General features: G+C 37.9%; 3 annotated features.

Moving 5' to 3' along the window:
- Positions 6,178-7,377: an enhancer, noted in NCBI's record as "BRD4-independent group 4 enhancer chrX:113514507-113515706 (GRCh37/hg19 assembly coordinates)". NCBI's record gives its function as "activates an origin of replication core promoter dependent on BRD2, P300/CBP, MED14 and CDK7 cofactors, and independent of BRD4, by STARR-seq in HCT116 cells {active_cell/tissue: HCT116}" and the evidence as "EXISTENCE:reporter gene assay evidence [ECO:0000049][PMID:35650434]".
- Positions 8,000-8,501: an enhancer, noted in NCBI's record as "H3K4me1 hESC enhancer chrX:113513383-113513884 (GRCh37/hg19 assembly coordinates)". NCBI's record gives its function as "activates a minimal SCP1, AML or CMV promoter by ChIP-STARR-seq in primed H9 embryonic stem cells {active_cell/tissue: H9 hESC(primed)}" and the evidence as "EXISTENCE:reporter gene assay evidence [ECO:0000049][PMID:30033119]".
- Positions 9,382-10,581: an enhancer, noted in NCBI's record as "BRD4-independent group 4 enhancer chrX:113511303-113512502 (GRCh37/hg19 assembly coordinates)". NCBI's record gives its function as "activates an origin of replication core promoter dependent on BRD2, P300/CBP, MED14 and CDK7 cofactors, and independent of BRD4, by STARR-seq in HCT116 cells {active_cell/tissue: HCT116}" and the evidence as "EXISTENCE:reporter gene assay evidence [ECO:0000049][PMID:35650434]".

The raw sequence follows: 19,914 nt of genomic DNA, 5'->3' as shown, positions 1-19,914 counted from the left end.
TGAGGCTCTGTCTCAAAAAAAAAAAAAAAATTATCCAGCCCATCAAAGAATTAAAGAAAGATAAATGATTAATACAATAAGAGTAAGATATTATATTTTGCCTATAGAGTAGGCAAAGTCTGGTAGAACTTATTGTTGGTAAATATGTCAGGGAAAATGATCCTTATACATTTTGGGCAGGAGTATGAACTAGTATAGCTTCTTTGGAGCACAACTGGACAAAATCTATCTCATTGTAAAACATGTACACCTCTTTACTCAGATAATTTATTTCTGCAAGAGCAAACATTAGAGGCAATTACATGTCTAGCAAAAGAGGATTAATTAGATAAGATAAAAAGACACATAAAAGCTAGAGATAAATCGAAATCATGTTCTATTAATTTTTTAAATGATTATTAAACTTGTCTCTTTGGAATATAAATTCTGGTTAAGAGGTAACATTTTAAATGATCATATATTTCTATAAGAATTAATAAAAAATTGAAACCTACATAAATAAATTAGGAGTAAGCTTAAGAAAATATTTTTTTCTAGTATGGAAAAAAATTGTATTTTATGAAATATCCTCTGCCATGATTTTAATACTCTAATTTCCTTGCAACCTAATAACACAATGTAGCATCTGTAATTCTTACAGAGTGCCATCTCTGTTTCTGAAATTTAGAGGCACCTTCACCAAAATGCTTATATTCTTATAATCTACATTATTTATTCGAGCCAAGTTATGTCACCAAAATTAAATGAAACAAGATTACACTGGGGACATTAGAACACTGAAATTTCAGTCCATCCGAAATCAAAGAGTTGAAAAGATTACAAATCCAGTACAATTAAATACTTAGTTTCTTGTGATTCATTTCACAGTATGTGTTCATCTCTGTCAAATTTAGGTAGTAGGGTAACATACTTTCATCTTCTAAAACATAATACTGACTTAAAAGCAATTATATAAATGTCAAAAGATAAAAATGTGATTATACAAAATTAATTGCTTCTCATGGACACAGTTCTAAAAAGAAAATAGTTGTAGGATAGCTTTCAATTTTGTTTCCTGTAAGTATTTTTCCAGTTTACCTGATATTTGAAAAAATTCAGGTGATATGGTAAAAATTAAACGATAAACAAGCCTAGCTTTTAGCCCAACTCTGTTCTGAATAGTGCTGATGAGTGGGATTCTAGGAAGAGTAATATCTGAAAAAGCATTCTTAGGAAGTTTTACTGTTTTTGGTCAAAATATCCCATCCCCTGATATGAGGGATTAGACTTTAATAAAATTTTAGAGTAGGCAATATTTATTTTAAATGCTTTTGATAGTGTTCTTATGCCTTTCTATACATCTCTATCTCACATTCAGTGTTTTGAGTCCTCTGCTGTAATGTTCAATCAATCATTCTTTCCTACCTTATGTGTCATTGAGAAGAAATATTAAAAATAAATAAATATCCTTCATAATAACTAAGGTGCTGAGAACCTGATGTAGTCTGCTTCCCAAGATAAAAGGGAGATACAAAAGAGAAGGCAAAGTGTAACTAAAAAGCTATAATTACTTATAAATTATCATTATAATTGTGTATATTGTGCAAATTTAATTACCTCTGTAGTTGATTTGGTGAGGGCAGAAAATTCTTGTAAACTAGAACTTGTGTTGTGGTATTTGATTTCTTCAAATGATTTTTCTTAATCCATTGAAATTATCATGTTTTTTCACCCTTAAACCTGTAATATGGTGATTTGCATTGATTGATTTTCAAATAGTTAATCAATGTTGGATTCTTTAATAAAACATACACAGCCACAAATTCTGCACCCACCAAATTAACCACTGAGGTATTTAAAGGCCTTTATACATAAAGATGGTCCTTGTGTGTAAATAACAAGTAGAGTTGTATTTTCTTTTTCAAAATTTGTTTTTATGTTCTTGGTTCTTTGAATTTCTATGTAGAATTCAGAATAAGCTAATCAATTTTTATAAAAATTTATTCTAGAATTAGGGTTTAGAACTGTTTAGAATCTATAGATGATAGGGGAAGAATTGTCTTACCAATATTGAGACTTTTGATCCATGAACAAGATGAACAAGGTATACAGTCACATTTATTAATATCTGTAGTTTCTGTTATTCAATATTTTATCACTTTCAGCATAAAGGACTTGCATATAATTTTTTCAGTTGATTCTCAGGTGTCCTTTGTCAATGTGATTTTTGAATGGCATAACTTTTCATATTTAATTTTACATTTGTTTATTGACCTTGTATTCTTCTACTTGGCTAAATTCATTTATTAGTTCTTGTCATGGAGGTAGATTTGTTAGGATTATCTAATATAAAGAATCATGTAATATGTCTTTAGAGACAGTTTTACTTTCTCCTTTCTAGTGATTTTTAAATTTATTTCTTTTAGTTGCCAAAGGCCTTGTGAATGGCCGAGATCTCCAGGATGATGCTGGGTAGAGCATTCTTGCCTTGTTCTCCATCTTCAAGGGAAAATATGCACAATGTCATCATTAAGTATGATACCAGGTTTTCTGCATATGTTCTTTATCAAATTAAGGGTAATTTTCTGAAATGTTTTATTTCTTTTAGGAGTGGATATTGGAATTTTTCAAATGCTTTTTAAAAATTATTTGTATAGATTTATAGGGTACAAGTGCAGTTTTGTTACATGGATGTATTATTGCATAGTGGTGAAGTCTGGGCTTTTAGTGTAACCATCACCTGAATAGTGTACATTGTACCCAATAGGCAATTTGTCACCCTCACCCCCTTCCACCCTCTCATTTTCCGAGTCTCCAATGTCTATTATTCTGCTCTCTGTGTCTATGTGTACACACTATTTAGCTCCCACTTATAAGTAAGAACTTGTGGTATTTGACTTTCTTCAAATAACTTCTTCTTAGTCCATTGAAATTATCATTCTTTTCACCTTTAAAGCTATAATATGGTGATTTGCATTGATTGATTTTCAAGTATTTAGCCAACCTTGGATAAAATATACTCAGCCACAATGTGTTGTTCTTTTTATATATTGCTAGATTAAATTTGCTAATATTTTGTTAAAGCTCTTTGCATAAAAATTTAGGAGGAATATTCACCCGTAGTTTTATTCTGGTAATGCCTTTGATGAGTTTTGATGTTATGGTGGGCTCTTAAAAATGAATTAAGGAATTTCCTTACCTATATTTTTTAAAAGTATTTGTATAAGATTAATGTTACTTCTTCTTTTAAAGATTGATAAAATAAACCAGTTAAATTGTCTAGACCTGGAGTTTGGGGGTGGGGGGAGTTCAGTTTCTTTGATAGAAAAATGCTATTCAGGGCCAGGCGCAGTGGCTCACGCCTGTAATCCCAGCACTTTGGGAGGCCGAGGCGGGCAGATCACGAGGACAGGAGATCGAGACCATCGTGGCTAACATGGTGAAACCCCGTCTCTACTAAAAATATAAAAAATTAGCCGGGCGTAGTGGCGGGCACCTGTAGTCCCAGCTACTCGGGAGGCTGAGGCAGGAGAATGGCGTGAACCCGGGAGGTGGAGCTTGCAGTGAGCGGAGATCACACCACTGCACTCCAGCCTGGGCTACAGAGGGAGACTCCGTCTCAAAAAACAAAACAAAACAAAACAAAACAAATGCTATTCAGATTTTCTGTATCTTCTTGTGTCAGTTTAAGGAAATTGTAAGATCTGTATCCATAACTTCTCTTTCATTATGCTATTTTTTCCCTTTATCAGTCTAGTGAGAGAAATATATGCAGCTTGTTGGATAGTTTGTAGGACCTGTTATTGGTAAAGACCTCACTCAAAAATGGCTTCAAGTTATCTTCCATAGTGAATTAATGAGGATCCCCATGAGATGCATGAAGTCTCTAGGATACCTGAACAAAGCTACCAGATGTTGTGCCCCCTTTTTGTTTGCTGGAGTTTTTAAGGACAACAGTTTCTCTGTAAGAGACTCAGTGATTGTTCTCTGGGTATCAACTCACATGATTTCCAAGAAGTTTACTTGAGTAGCAGACCCCTGTGTCTTGTCAACATTACTCTTCCAGACCTGATTACTCAGATATTAAATCACTCTTCAGCTTAGGTATTGTCTCTTTTCCTTCTCTGATTTCTATTTTGTTGTGACATGCTCTTATTTTTAATTCCTTCCTTCTACTTACTTTGGATATATTTTGGTCTTCTTTATCTACTTATTAAGGTAGAACTTTAGGTTAAGGATCAATAAACTTTTCCTTTAAAGGTATATATATTAAATATTTCATGCTTTGAAGGCCATATGGCCTGTGTTGCAAATCTTCAACTCTGCCAATGTAGCACAAAAGTAGCCATAGACCATATATGTCCCAATTAAACTTCTTCTTTTTTTTTTTTTTACAACATAAGTGACAAGCCTGAATAAGCATGCAGGCCGTAATTTGCTAATCCCTGATTTAAGTTATTGCTTTGAGACCAGTCTTCTTTTCTAATATAAGTATTGAAATGTACATATTCCTCTGTAAACACTGCTTTAGTTACATTCCACAACTTTCAGTATTTGATATTTTAACAACCATTCATACAAAATATATTTTTTCTGTTTTCTCTTGTGATTTTTTTCTGTTTTCTCTTGTGATTTTTTATTTATGTGTCTCTTAGAAGAATATTGTCTAATTTCCAAATGTGCAATGTTTTCCTAGATATCTTATTGTTAGTGAGGTCTAATTTAGTTTCCTCGTGGTCAAAGAATGTACACAGGTGGCTTCAATCCTTTTAAATGTATTGAAACTTAATTTATGGCCCAGAATGTGTTCTATCTTGTTGAATGTAATATCTGCCCTTGAAAATAATGTACATTCTACATTCATGTTTTGTGGGGGAGAAAAACAGGAAAATAAGGTGCGTTCTACAATTGTTGGCTGTAGTGATCTATAAATATCAGTGAAGTCAAGGTGGTAGATAATATGATTCATATCATCTATGCCTTTACTGAGTTTTTGACTAGTTATTCTACCTATTTCTGAGCGAGGGTGTTAATATCTACAAATAATAACAACAACAATAATAAACCCCTCTAGCATTCTAAGAAGAGCTTTTCTTATAAAACAGTCTCAATATGCTTGCAAAGAAAGAAACCAAGATGGAAACAAAGGCCATTAAATCTAAGGTTGTGGGTTGACTGAAGGGTGAACAGAGCCCAGAGACAGAAGTAAATCTCAGATTTAACAGTCTAGATAATCTTTGACTCTGATTACCAACCTATTAATCCCTGAGGAAACCTCTATTTCCCCATTCCTCAAATATAGACTATTAAGGCAACAGGATGTACTTTACAGTCTGCCTTCCCCCGCTTCCCCCTATCCTGTATTCAAATGTGAATTATTCCCTAAGAGCATTGCAGACATTCCTACGAAGGGCAATGGACAAAGGAGATTTTCCCACAGAGTGAAAACAGGGAACATGAAGGACAATAGACAAATGGAAAGCCTCCTAAGTTACAAGTCCAATACTGTCTGATAAATTGATTCATTTCATTTGTCAGATATTGAGCCCTCAATATTCCTGTCCAAGGGAATGTGATATATGCCACAAATCAATGTGTTGTTTACCATTCTCTTTTCTGAATGGGAATTTTTATTCGTTATTCCAATCTTTTCCCACCATTGTACACTGTATGCACTGGGAGTGGATAAATTGTCATTTTTAGGATACGTCACTACACTCTGAGGTAGCTACCTCTGGACTTGATAATAAGAATAGTACATAATCCAGAGATCCTGGACTTGGTTCTGGTTTCAGTAACTGTATGAGATATTGGGATAGTTTCCCTTGGAGGGTGATGTGAGTTTGATTCATGCACATTTTAATTCATGCACATGTAATCTTATTAAGGCAATGTGAAGCAGGTTTATCCACAGAGAAGATAGTCTCTGATGGAAAGAGAGTTGGCTAGAATCTTAAGTCTCACAGTGACCATAGACATCATACCATACTGCCTTGGGGCATATGCAGCAGAATGTGGCTAATTCAGACAAATATACTTTATTTCTACCCATGGCTTTATCCACAAAGCTCTATCAGGTATAATCCTGGTGAACTGGCCTGGACAACATGTGAGTTCAAAAGTTTCCTTTGGCCTTCCAGATAAGGGCCTGGATGAGAGGCAGCCTAAAACCAGCCACTTGGTCATTTTCCCCACAGTCATTTCCTTTGCCTTGATACAGAGTGTCAGAAAATTGACAGCAAGAGGATGCACAGGAAAGGGAGTGCACAGAACATGAGCTCATTTTCCTAAACACTAGAGTTTACTCATATCTGTTCTTTTCTCTGGATCCAACATCCTGTTCCACCAGGTAAAGATGAGTAAAGTGCTTCTAAAACAGGAGGCAGATGGGTCTATCTTACGCCATCAGATATAAGAACAACCAGACCTTATGGGGAAACAGCATTAAGAATTTCGTAACAGTCAAAAAAACAGGACAGCTTCTTTCACATTCCCTCTCTTGCTGAAACCACAGTATCTTTTGGCACTTCTTTCAGCCTGTCTCTCTCTTTCTCTGTCTCTCCTTACCAATCATGCTTTCTGTATTCTACTTAAACACTGTCATTGTCATTTCATCCCCAACTTTACATACATTACAAATTAAATGCCTGATGCTCACTGATCTACTCTCTCCAGATACAAATTCCAAATTCCAAAACAGAGGATCTAATTGGGATAGATAAGACTTGGGATAGCTCCTCCTGGGTGAAAGGTCAGTGCATGTCTGAACATGTTTCTCTATAAAGACCACTCTTTGTAAGCACAAAAAGTTACCCAAAAAGAGACTCTTAAAGATTACTACTGTGTAACTCTGATCATCATCAATTATCAGAGTGGCTTCTTCTTGCAAATCAAATGAAGATCGTGAGCGGAATGAGGCTTTGCAGATATTAGAGTATTCCGCTAAAACATGGATCACATTTAAGTCATTAGCAGTCTTCATTTCAATTTGCTTATCAAATTAGCCCTAAAAGAAAATGAGTCTGTTAAGAATGAAATGTAGTTCCAGATAGTTTTGATACAAAACAAAGGAAAAGTAAGTTTCCAAATCATGTGTTACTGCCAAGAAAGGTTTTGGTCAGATGGGTTCTTATCTCATCTACACGCATGCCTTCACATCACTAGCACACTTACTTCTAAAGCTGTATTTCTAAAAAAGTTCTCTCGCCGGGCACGGTGGCTCACGCCTGTAATCCCAGCACTTTGGGAGGCCGAGACGGGAGGATCACGAGGTCAGAAGATCGAGACCATCCTGACTAACAGGGTGAAACCCCGTCTCTACTAAAAATACAAAAAATTAGCAGGGTGTGGTAGTGGGTGCCTGTAGTCCCAGCTACTCCAGAGGCTGAGGCAGGAGAATGGCGTGAACCCGGGAGGTGGAGCTTGCAGTCAGCCAAGATCGTGCCACTGCATTCCAGCCTGGGCGACAGAGCGAGACTCCGTCTCAAAAAAAAGAAAAGTTCTCTCATGAGATGATTTTCTTGTGTATCTATAACCCCCAAGAGGCCAGCCACGGGGAGAGGTGACAGCGTGCTGGCAGTCCTCACAGCCCTCGCTCGCTCTAGGCGCCTCCTCTGCCTGGGCTCCCACTTTGGCGGCACTTGAGGAGCCCTTCAGCCCACCGCTGCACTGTGGAAGCCCCTTTCTGGGCTGGCCAAGGCCGGAGCCGGCTCCCTCAGCTTGCGGGGAGGTGTGGAGGGAGAGGCACGAGCGGGAACCGGGGCTGCGCGCGGCGCTTGCGGGCCAGCTGGAGTTCCGGGTGGGCGTGGGCTTGGCGGGCCCCGCACTGGGAGCAGCCGGCCGGCCCTGCCGCCCTGGTCAATGAGGGGCTTAGCACCCGGGCCAGCGGCTGCGGAGAGTGTACTGGGTCCCCCAGCAGTGCCAGCCCACCGGCGCTGCGCTCGATTTCTCGCCGGGCCTTAGCTGCCTTCCCGCAGGGCAGGGCTCGGGACCTGCAGCCCGCCATGCCTGAGCCTCCCACACCCTCCGTGGGCTCCTGTGCCACCCAAGCCTCCCCGATGAGCGCCGCTTCCTGCTCCACGGTGCCCAGTCCCATCGACCACCCAAAGGCTGAGGAGTGCGGGCGCACGGTGCGGGACTGGCAGGAAGCTCCACCTGCAGCCCCGGTGCCGGATCCACTGGGTGAAGCCAGCTGGGCTCCTGGGTCTGGTGGGGACTTGGAGAACCTTTATGTCTAGCTAAGGGATTGTAAATACACCAATCAGCACTCTGTATCTAGCTCAAGATTTGTAAACACACCAATAAGCACCCTGTATCTAGCTCAAGGTTTGTAAACACACCAATCAGCACCCTGTATCTAGCTCAAGGTTTGTAAACACACCAATCAGCACCCTGTATCTAGCTCAGGGTTTGTGAATGCACCAATAGACACTCTGTATCTAGCTAATCTGGTGGGGACCTGGAGAACCTTTGTGTCTAGCTCAGGGATTGTAAATGCACCAACCAGTGCCCTGTCTAAACAGACCACTGGGCTCTACCAATCAGCAGGATGTGGGTGGGGCCAGATAAGAGAATAAAAGCAGGCTGCCGGAGCCAGCAGTGGCAACGCTCCGGTCCCCTTCCATGCTGTGAAGGGTTTGTTCTTTTGCTCTTTGCAATAAATCTTGCTACTGCTCACTCTTTGGGTCCACACTGCTTTTATGAGCTGTAACACTCACCACGAAGGTCTGCAGCTTCACTCCGGAAGCCAGCGAGCCCACGAGCCCACAGGGAGGAACAAACAACTCCAGACGCGCCGCCTTAAGAGCTGTAACACTCACCGGGAAGGTCTGCAGCTTCACTCCCGAAGCCAGCGAGCCCACGAGCCCACAGGGAGGAACGAACAACTCCAGACGCGCAGCCTTAAGAACTGTAACACTCACCGCGAAGGTCTGCAGCTTCACTCCTGAAGCCAGCGAGCCCATGAGCCCACCAGAAGGAAGAAACTCCAGACACATCCGAACATCAGAAGGAACAAACTCCGGACACGCCGCCTTTAAGAACTGTAACACTCACCGCAAGGGTCCGCGGCTTCATTCTTGAAGTCAGTTAGACCAAGAACCCACCAATTCTGGACACAACGGTGGCCCATAACTGTAATCCCAGGACTTTGGGAGGCTGAGGTGGGAAGATTACTTGAGCCCAGGAGTTTAAGACCAGCCTAGGCAACACAGTGGATCCCCAACTCTACAAAAACTTAAAAAGTTAGCTGAGCGTGGTGGTCCATGCCTGTGGTCCCAGCTACTCAGGAGGCTGAGGTGGAAGGATCACTTGAACCCAGGAGGTCAAGGCTGCAGCGAGTCATATTCATGCCACTGTTCTCTAGCCTGGGTGACAGAGTGAGACCTGGTCTCAAAAATAAATAAATAAGTAAATAATAAGTAAATAAAACATACCCCACCCCAGCCCGCCGAATAGACTACAACTATTTGACAGAAGAGGATAGGAATTATTTACTTGCCTATTGTAAGCGTCTTCCTGGATTATAGTAGATAAGCCATTTTACTACATGAATGAATTAATTGAAAGCTTAGACGGCTTGAGGACGATGGGAGAAGAAGAAACCAGGAAAAAGGCAAGAATGGAGGTAAGGTTTGAAGTGATGCAAAAATATTGATATAGTTTAGCTGTGTGTCCCCACCCAAATCTCATGTTGAATCCCCAGTGTTGGTGGAGAGGCGTGGTGGGAGGTGACTGAATCATGGAGGTGGGTATTCCCCTTGCTGTTCTCATGATAGTGAATGAGTTCTCCCAAGATCTGGTTGTTCGAAAATGTATATCACTTCCCCTTTTGCTCTCTCTCTCTCCTACCCTGCCTTGGTAAGACATGCCTGCTTCCCCTTCACCTTCTGCCATGATTTTAAGTTTCTCGAGGCCTCTCCAGCCATGCTTCCTGTACAGCCTGCAGAACTGTGAGTCAATTAAACTTTTTTTTTTTTTTGAGATGGAGTCTATCTTTGTCACCAGGCTGGAGTGCAGGGGCATGACCTTGGCTCACTGAAACCTTCGCCTCCCAGGTTCTATCAGTTCTCCTGCCTCAGCCTAGCTGGGCTTACAGGCACACACCACCACACCCAGCTAATTTTTGTATTTTTAGTAGAGACGGGGTTTCACCATGTTGGCCAGGATGGTCTCGATCTCCTGACCTCGTGATCCACCCACCTCGGCCTCCCAAAGTGCTGGGATCACAGGCGTGAGCCACCACTCCCGGCTAAACTTCTTTTCTTCATAAATTACCCATTCTTAGGTATGTCTTTGTAGCAAAGTGAGAATGGAATAATACAACCATCAATTTTGCTTACTTGATATTTGGCCAAAGATTGACTTTGGGAGTGAGAAGAAGAAAACTAGCTTGAAAAGGTGTGTAGTTTTTGCTCAATGGAGCCAACAACCATGGCTCTGATCCTATGTCATTCTGGCATCTACCATCCCTTTAGGTTTTTGAAGTTATCTTTTAGTATCTGATAATTTCCATTTAAATATTTTGCCTTCATCTTAGTTGTCTGTCTTCCAACAAAAGTTGGAGTTGTGAGTTTAGCTGCATATATATGCTCAAATGTTAGTCTATTCCCTGAGAAAACAAATAAAATACTTAGAAATATAGTTCATATTTAGTCAGTTGCCTTACTTTTTAAAAAATATTCTTTTTTTTTTTTTTTTGACAGAGTCTCACTCTGTCACCCAGGCTGGAGTGCAGTGGCACAATCTCGGCTCACCACAACCTCTGCCTCCCGAGTTCAAACAATTCTCCTGCCTCAGCCTCCCGAGTAGCTGGGATTACAGGTACGTGCCACTGTGCCAGGCTAATTTTTGTATTTTTAGTAGAGACGGGGTTTCACCTTGCTGGCAAGGCTGGTCTTGAACTCCTGACCTGAGGTGATCCGCCCACCTTGGCCTCCCAAAGTTCTGGGATTACAGGCGTGAGCCACCGTGCCTGGCCTAAAAAATATTCTTTTAAAAGAAGCAGCATAGTTTAACAACTCATTACATGAAAGTGATATTTATGGTAAAATAAGATTTACATGAAGCCTATTTACAGTCACTGCTTAAACAAATCTCAGCTTTCCTTTCCCCTTTTAAATTTGTATTCACTCTTACATACATATATAATCCTTTAAATCGTTTGAGGATAAACACTCAAACATTACACATAAGGCTGAAGTCCTCTCTGACGACTTGGATTTCGTTTCTATTGTAAGGATAACCAGTTTCTATTACTTAGGCTGTGACTTGTTACTATGGCTCCACTGCTTATTTTGCTTCCTCTGAGTGAAGGTCCCTGACAACCAGGCCCCTCTCTCGATAATCCCACAACTTCCTCTCCCTGCAGTCTGCCTTTGGCAACTTGTGTGAAACAGACTTGTGTGGCTCAAACTAGCCTGATCCTGCATGTACTATTCCCTTTGCGAGTCATTCTTTTCCTCCTCTTCACTACCTGGTGTACTCCAGTTCTTCTTTCCCTGCTGTGACCAAATGTCACATCAGATCTAAATTCTTCCCTGTGCCTGAAAACTGTTTTGTGTAATAAAGAGCCCTGGAGAAATTAAGCCCATGAGATCTGGAGCTACATTTCTTGGTTAGGATTCTGGATTTTGTCTCTTACTAGCTACCTTAGACCAGTTACTTAATCTCGTTGAGTCTCAGTTCCCTTGTTTGTGAAATGAGTATATAAGCAGGTATTAATACCTACTTCAAAATGCTGTTAGTGGGATTAAATGAGTTAACAGATGGGAAAAACTGAGATCATGCTGCCTAGAAGATAGTGAGGGTTTGGTAACTGTTGTGATTATGGATATTTTAGCATCTGTAATTAGAATACTCTTCATATTTTATGATAACCTTTTCCTGTCTGCCTATCTTCTCCAATCCTCAAGGGCTGCACCATGTCATCATTTACTTTGTTTCATCCCCACTTCACCTTGCATCTGCCCCAAACTCCAAAGTCTACACAGTAAGTACAATGCCAGCCACTTAGCAGGTGCTCCATCTAGAAGAAAGTATGGCATAGTGTCAAGCACCTTAGTAACAGAAAGCTTCAATCTGGAATATTACACAGAGTACTTTTAGGGGACTCTCCATTGTAGCTCTCAGCCTCCAGGCTATCTTGCTTTCTCTTTCCCTTGGAACCAAATTTAAAAAGAGACTTTGACTTTCTATCTGGCCTCCTGATGCAGCAAGTGGTGTTGAGTCTACAGCATACCTCAGGAGGAGGTTTCTTTGCCCCCTACCACTCCGCTTCTCTTCATTCCTTGCATCTCACTCTCTCATTCCCTACAATTCCACCTTATTGATCACTTTTTACCATAGAAAGGCTTCCTATAGAAGCAGCCTTCTAAGCAATGTCGACAAAGTGCCTCAGACCTCTGGCCCCAATTGATTCTGGTTTAAAGGTCTATGCTTTCATTCTTTCTTTCCCTCACTAAAATTTTGAAAACAATTGAGAAAAAAAAAACAGCTTTTCTGACAGTTTCTAACAGTTTGCAGCATGCTTGCCTCACAGCCTTGTATCGAGCCTTGTAGCTTTTAAGCCAAAGGAATGACATTTTAAAAGTTTCTCTTATTGGTGTATTCCAATCAAGTTAATTGTGTTCTATAAGAATTTTAAAAAGTAAAAATGTACCTGCAAGAGTCACAATTAAGGTAAAGAGATGTATTTCATTAAATGCTACTATTAAATGATATCAGTGAACATCCATATCGTACATTACTTTGTCACTCCTTATCAACATGAATACATCTTCCTGGCTTTGGGTGAAACCACTGGAAAAGTTCTTCTGGCAGTGTACAGGGATATTTATGAGAAATGTTCAGAAAAATGAACCTAGTTAATATTTAATGAAGTACATGTTACTGTAATGTTACCATAAAATTAGCTTAGCTTACAAGAAAATGTTATAAAATGAATCTTCTTTTATGCTGGCCAATAATTTAAATAATATACTTTATTAAAAGAGCCAAGCAATGTTTTTAACTATATTATATACCAACTCCCAATCCAGAAAACTGCTATTGCTCTTTTATTTTCTGCTTTAGTATTTCCATTCACTGTAAAATATTTTTTGAAAAGAATTTTGGAAGAGTTAATAAAGCACTTAGCAGAATAAGAAGCAGAAGGATTATTTAGTTTCAGAGCAAACCCCTGGCAGTTTTGAGTGTTAATAGTGGTTCTCATTTAAGCTTTTACAGGAACATACATTTTGACCTTTTTCAACTCTCCTGACTTCTAGAAGAATGAAGTGTTTATCTCAGAAACTATTGAGACTATTTTAGGATCTCAGTCGTTCAGGAAACTAGCTGTGCAAACTTTTTAACAGATAAAAACAAAAGAGCACCGCATTGGGCTGGAAGTAGGATCTGAATTTTATCTGCTAAATAATGGGGGTCATGTCACTTAATCTCACCAAAAATGAGGATAACAAAGCATTATATTGTTCACACAGGATTGTTGTCTCAAATGAAGAAAAACAGATGTATAAATATTGTGAAAAAGAAAGTAGTTTAAGAAATATTACTTTTATTATTTATATTATTTCAAATCACACCATTATTACTGCTTTTTATTTTTTATTTTTTATTTTTTTAAGACAGAATCTCGCTCTGTCGCCCAGGCTGGAGTGCAGTGGCACAATCTTGGCTCACTGCAACCTCTGCACTACAACCTCTGCCTCCTGGGCTCAAGCAATTCTCCTGCCTCAGCATCCTGAGTAACTGGTATTACAGGCATGCACCACCAAGTCCGGCTAATTTTTGTACTTTTAGCAGAGACGGGGTTTCACCATGTTGGCCAGGCTGGTCTCGAACTCCTGATCTCAAGTGATCCGCTCACCTTGGCATCCCAAAGTGCTGGGATTACAGGTGTGAGCCACCACGCCAGGCCTATTACTGGTTTTTAAAGATGACAGGGTTGGCATGTGTCCAATTCTATGAATAAGTTCCTTCAAAAAAATTTTTTTTTTTTTGAGACGGAGTCTTCCTCTGTCGCCCAGGCTGGAGTGCAGTGGCGAGATCTCGGCTCACTGCAAGCTCCACCTCCCGAGTTCACACCATTCTCCTGCCTCAGCCTCCCAAGTAGCTGGGACTACAGGCGCCTGCCACCACGCCGGGCTAATTTCTTGTATTTTTAGTAGAGACGGGGTTTCACCGTGTTAGCCAGGATGGTCTTGATCTTCTGACCTCGTGATCCGCCCACCTCGGCCTCCCAAAGTGCTGGGATTAGAGGCTTGAGCCACCTCGCCCAGCCGAAAAATTTTTATAAGCAGAAATTTATTTTAAGAGTTGATGCGTACTGATATAAGACAATGTTGGCATTCCTCAAATGAAAGATTGTTTTTGCAAATATTGGTAGTGTCCTGTAGTTACAGGCGAGTTGGGGTTTTATATCCCCTCCCCTACAAATCTGTCAGGAGTGCTCCTCTCCATCCTAGGCCTTTCAGCTGGTACCTTATGTGAAAGAGTCACTGAAAGGCAGACACAATGGTGTTCTGACGCAGGATTAGAAAACAATGGGGCTGCAGACCTTGAGCACTGCACAAATGGTCCAACAGTGCCTTGTTAGATTCTAATACCTTGTTCACGCAAGGACAATGGGACTTGTACAAATTTGCATAATCAGTTACCTATTTTGAACATGGTGCATTTTACCAGTGGAAAAATATTTCCAGTATCTCTTATGCTTAATTAATAAATTCTTTTATGTAGATTTCAATGATGATATTTGAGGTGCCAAGTAATCACTTCTCAGTGTTGTCTCCTAATTAGAGTACCTCTAAGATACAGAGTTTTTGCATATTCTCATATTACATGATTTATATTAATATTCTTAATGTAAATTCCAATACAAACTGTACAGCAAGATTGTCATTTGTCATTATATGAAAATGTACAATACTCTAAGTACTATTATCAAGGTCTCATATGTGTTTTTATTTTTTAAAAAAGTTCTTTAAAGAATACTTAGGACAATTTAAGACACAAACATCATTCATTTTAATAAACATTTCTTGAGCACTTACTATGTACCAAGCACTATGCTAGGTCCTGGGGTGTTAAAAACTAGGCATGATTTAAGTTCTCACAGCCTGTAAGGAAACAGATATTAAACAAATAAATACCAAAAGTACTTTTCACCATAGAAAGTGTAGTTGGTTCCATACCTTGGCTATTGTGACTAATGCTATAATAAACAGGAGTGCAGGTATCTTTTTGGTATACTGATTCCATTTCCTTTGGATATATGCCCAGTAGTGGGATTGCTGGATTGCATGGTAGTTTTATTTTTAATTCTTTGAGGAACCTCCATATTGTTTTTCATAATGGCTGTATTAATTTACAGTCCCACCAACAGTGTGTAAGGATTACTTTTTCTCCACATCTCGTGAATACTTGTTATTTTTTTCATTTTTTGATAGTAACCATTCTGATAATGAGGTTATATCTGATTATAATTTTGATTTGTATTTCCTTGATCATTAGGAATGTTGAGCATTTTTCACATATCTGTTGTCCATTTGTATGTCTTCTTCTGAGAAATGTTTATTCAGATCTTTTGTTCATTTTTAATCAGTTTTTTAAAAAAATATTGAGTTATTTTTGTTCCTTATATATTTTGGTTATTAACCCCGTATCAGGTATATAGTTTGCAAATATATTCTCCCATTCTGTGGGTTGTCTTTTTAAGCTCTGTTGATTGTTTTCTTAGTTGTGCAGAAGCTGTTTAACCTGATGTGATCCTATTTGTCCATTTTTGCTTTGATTACCTTTGCTTTTGAGGTTTTATCTAAAAAATCTTTGTCTAGACCACTGTCATGAAGCTTTTCCCCTATATTTTCTTCTAGTAGTTTCGGGTGTTACATTTTAAGTCTTTAATCTGTTTTGAGATAATATTTGCTTATGGTGAGAGAGAAAGCTCTAATATCATTCTTTCTCATGTGGATATCCAGTTTTCTCAGCATTGTTATTGAAGAGGCTGTCCTTTCCTTAATGTGTGTTCTTGGCACCTTGTCAAAAATCGGTTAGCTATAGATGTGTGAATTTATTTCTTGGCTCTCTATTCTATTTCATTGGTCTATGTGTCTATTTTTATGCCAGTCCAATGCTGTTTTGCTTACTCTAGGTTTGTAGTATGTTTTGAACTCAAGTAGCGTGATGCCACCAGCTTTATTCTTTTTGCTCAAGTTTGCTTTGGCTATCCAGGGTCTTCTGTGGTTTCGTACAAATTTTAGGATTGCATTTTGTCTTCCTGTAAATAATGTCATTGGTATTTTGATAAGGATTGCACTGAATCTGTATCTCACTTTAGATGCCCTGATCATTTTAACGATATTAGTTATTTCAATTCCTGAACATGTGATATCTTTCTATTTTCTGTGTGTGTTTTCCTCAGTTTCTTTCATCAATGTTTTATAACTTTCATTGTTAAGTGTATTCCTAGGTATTTTAATTGTTTTCATATTTTTGTAAATGGGATTACTTTCTTGATTTTTTTTCCAGATAATTTGCTAGTGGTATATAGAAGTGCTACTTATTTTTGTGTATTGATTTTGTATCCTGCAACCTTACTTTTATTCTAATGTTTTTTGGGAGAATCTTTGGGTTTTATATATATATGTATATTATAAGCACATATACATATATTTATATTATAAGCACATATATGTATATTTGTTTATAGATATATATTCTAAATAATGTCATGATATTACAGATGTGTGTATATGTGTGTCTGTAATATATAATATGTATATCTATATACATACATATACACACATATATGCGTAATATTGTAAGACACTAGAAAAAGCCTATGGGAGGAGTTATAAATAATTCATCTTATAAATTAGAATTGCAAGTACTGTATTATACTAGTTAATTTCTTTCCCTTTTGTATGTGTATATATATGTTTATATGTACACGTACGTGTACACATATGTTTATATGTACACGTACGTGTACACATATGTTTATATGTACACGTACGTGTGTACACATGTTTATATGTACACGTACGTGTGTACACATGTTTATATGTACACGTACGTGTGTACACATGTTTATATGTACACGTACGTGTGTGCGTATAGGTTTATATGTACACGTACGTGTGTGCGTATAGGTTTATGTGTACACGTACGTGTGTGCGTATAGGTTTATGTGTACACGTACGTGTGTGCGTATAGGTTTATGTGTACACGTACGTGTGTGCGTATAGGTTTATGTGTACACGTACGTGTGTGCGTATAGGTTTATGTGTACACGTACGTGTGTGCGTATAGGTTTATGTGTACACGTACGTGTGTGCGTATAGGTTTATGTGTACACGTACGTGTGTGCGTATAGGTTTATGTGTACACGTACGTGTGTATATATGTATATATATGATGTCATTAACAAACAGGGACGATTTGACTTTATTTTTTCCAGTTTGGATGCCCTTTATTTCTCTCTCTTGCCTGATTACTCTGGCTAGGACTTCCAGTACTATATTCAATAAAAACGGTGAAAGAAGACATTCTTGTCTGGTTTCAGATTTTAAAAGAAAGCTTTCAGCTTTTCCCAGTTCATTGTGATGTTAGCTGTGGGTTTGTAATTCATGGCCTTTATTATGTTGAAGTACAGTCCTTCTATACCTAATTTCTTAGGAGCTTTTATCGTGAAGAAATGTTGAATTTTATCAAATATTTTTCTGCCAAATATCCATCAATGGATTAAGACATTAACAAGAATGAAATACTGTCATTTGTGGCAATATGGATGGACCTGGAAGACCTTAGGTTAAGGGAAATAAGCTAGACACAAAAAAGGTAAATACTGCATGAACTCACTCATATGTGGGTATAAAAAGTCATTCTCATGAAAGTAGAAAGTAGAATAGTGGTACCAGAAGATGGAGAGAGTGGATGGGCTGAGGGATTGAAAGACATCGATCAATAAGTATAAAGCTACAATTAGATAAGAGGAGTAAGTTCTGATGTTCTATTGCATGGTAGAAGGCTGGAGTTAATATATATTTCAAAATAGGTAGAAGAGAGGTTTCCAAATGTTCTCATTAAAAGTAAATAATAAATGTTTAAAGTGATGAATATGCCAATTACCCTGATTTGATCATTACACAATGTATACATGTACAGATTGAGTATCCCTTATCTAAAATGCTTAGGACCAGAAGTATTTCAGATTTCAGAGTTTTTCAGATTTTGGGAATATTTGCATTGTACTGGTTGAGCATTCCAAATCCCCAAATCCAAAATCTGAAATGTTCCAATGAGCATTTCCTTTGAGCATCATACTGGTGCTCAAAAAGATTCAGATTTTGGAACATTTTGAATTTCTGATTTTTAGATTTAGTATCCTCAACCTATATCAAAACATAACATTGTAGCCTATAAATATGTACAATTATTATGTGTCAATCATAAATTTTTTAAAATACAATGTGAGTTTGCTACAAAAAATAAAATAGAATGTTATGAGAACCTTTAAAATATCATAAGACATCATTTAGCAAAAGCCTGTGGGAGGAGATGGAAATTATTTGTCTTATGAACTAGAATTGCAAATATTGAATTATAGTAGTTAATTTCTTTCCCTTTTAATGTTTTTACATTACAAGATGAAGATAAAGAGCAGAAACACTTTTAACTGGGAAAATAACTTTTTATGCCATTGAATAGTTTGGCTGACTGAAACTATAAAGTGGTTTAAGAACTGAGTGTCACAGAAATTAAAGGCACCTCTGTTGAGTCAATAAGTCAATACATTACTTCTGTTCCCTTGAGGAAACTAACTTGCTACACGCACAATTCAAGATGCAATAACATTTTTCAGCAGCTAGTAAGGAAAATAACCCTGGCAAAAATAAAAGTTTAGGGTTTTAAATTATTTTTTTCCTGATTTTTTTTCAGTATAGTCTATTATAAATTTAAGCAGAAAACATCAATAGACTTCAATTATACTACGAAGAATAATCTTAAAGGCTAGATGGAGTAAATTCTGGTTTTGCTGACACTGATTCCTTCACCCATTTAATGGTTTTTATTAATTGATTTGAATTTCCTATTGCCATTACTGAGTACATTTTAAGTTTGATGCTTCATTGCAGTCTTAGAGTTCTGTTAATTTTTATATGCATTTTATTGAGATTATATATTACATACTCTTAATTATAAATATTTTGAGTGCTTTTTTTACATTTAGTTGTTGAAATACAATATAAGAAATATGAAGTTTACCAATTAACAGAAAGATGTTACATAGTATCTATTCATTTTACTTTTCCATAAGATGCTGAATAAGTAAATAATGCAATTCTCAAGAAAGAAGCGATATTCAAGTTATTCTTAAGGTCTTCAATTTAAGTACTAAAATGTCTTTTCATACACTTAATATTTAACCTTCCAAGATTCTAGCAAACAATATTAAAATCAGCAAAATGCATAGAAAGAAAAAACTAGCAATTATATTGTGATTAATTTTGAACCTCTTTTTATCATTTTTCTATCAACTAACATTGTAAACTCTCATCGTAACAAAAATACATTGAAAATTATGATGGAAATGAAAATATTTAAGATATCAGTCCAGACATCCAGACATAGATGGATACAGATACATAAACAGGACACATACACACACACACACACACACACACACACACACACACACATTCAAGGACATCATTGTTTGGTATCTTTCCTTAATATCTAAGATGACACCACTGCAGTATAGACATCAAAATTCTCATTGTCACTATGTTTTGACAGATACGATCATTCAGCAAACTTGGTAGCTCAAAGAACCTGCACAAGCCCTTTGTCTTTCTGATTCCTTGATTTATTTAACAACATTTCTTGAGTGCTAACCAGGTCCCAGGCACTGTTGCAGGTGTTGGGGCTAGAACA

The sequence above is a fragment of the Homo sapiens genome, chromosome X (genome assembly GCF_000001405.40).
Source record: "Homo sapiens chromosome X, GRCh38.p14 Primary Assembly".
In the NCBI taxonomy this organism is placed as follows: domain Eukaryota; kingdom Metazoa; phylum Chordata; class Mammalia; order Primates; family Hominidae; genus Homo; species Homo sapiens.
Note: the sequence above shows the minus strand (reverse complement) of the source record. Positions and strands in the feature narration are given on the sequence as shown.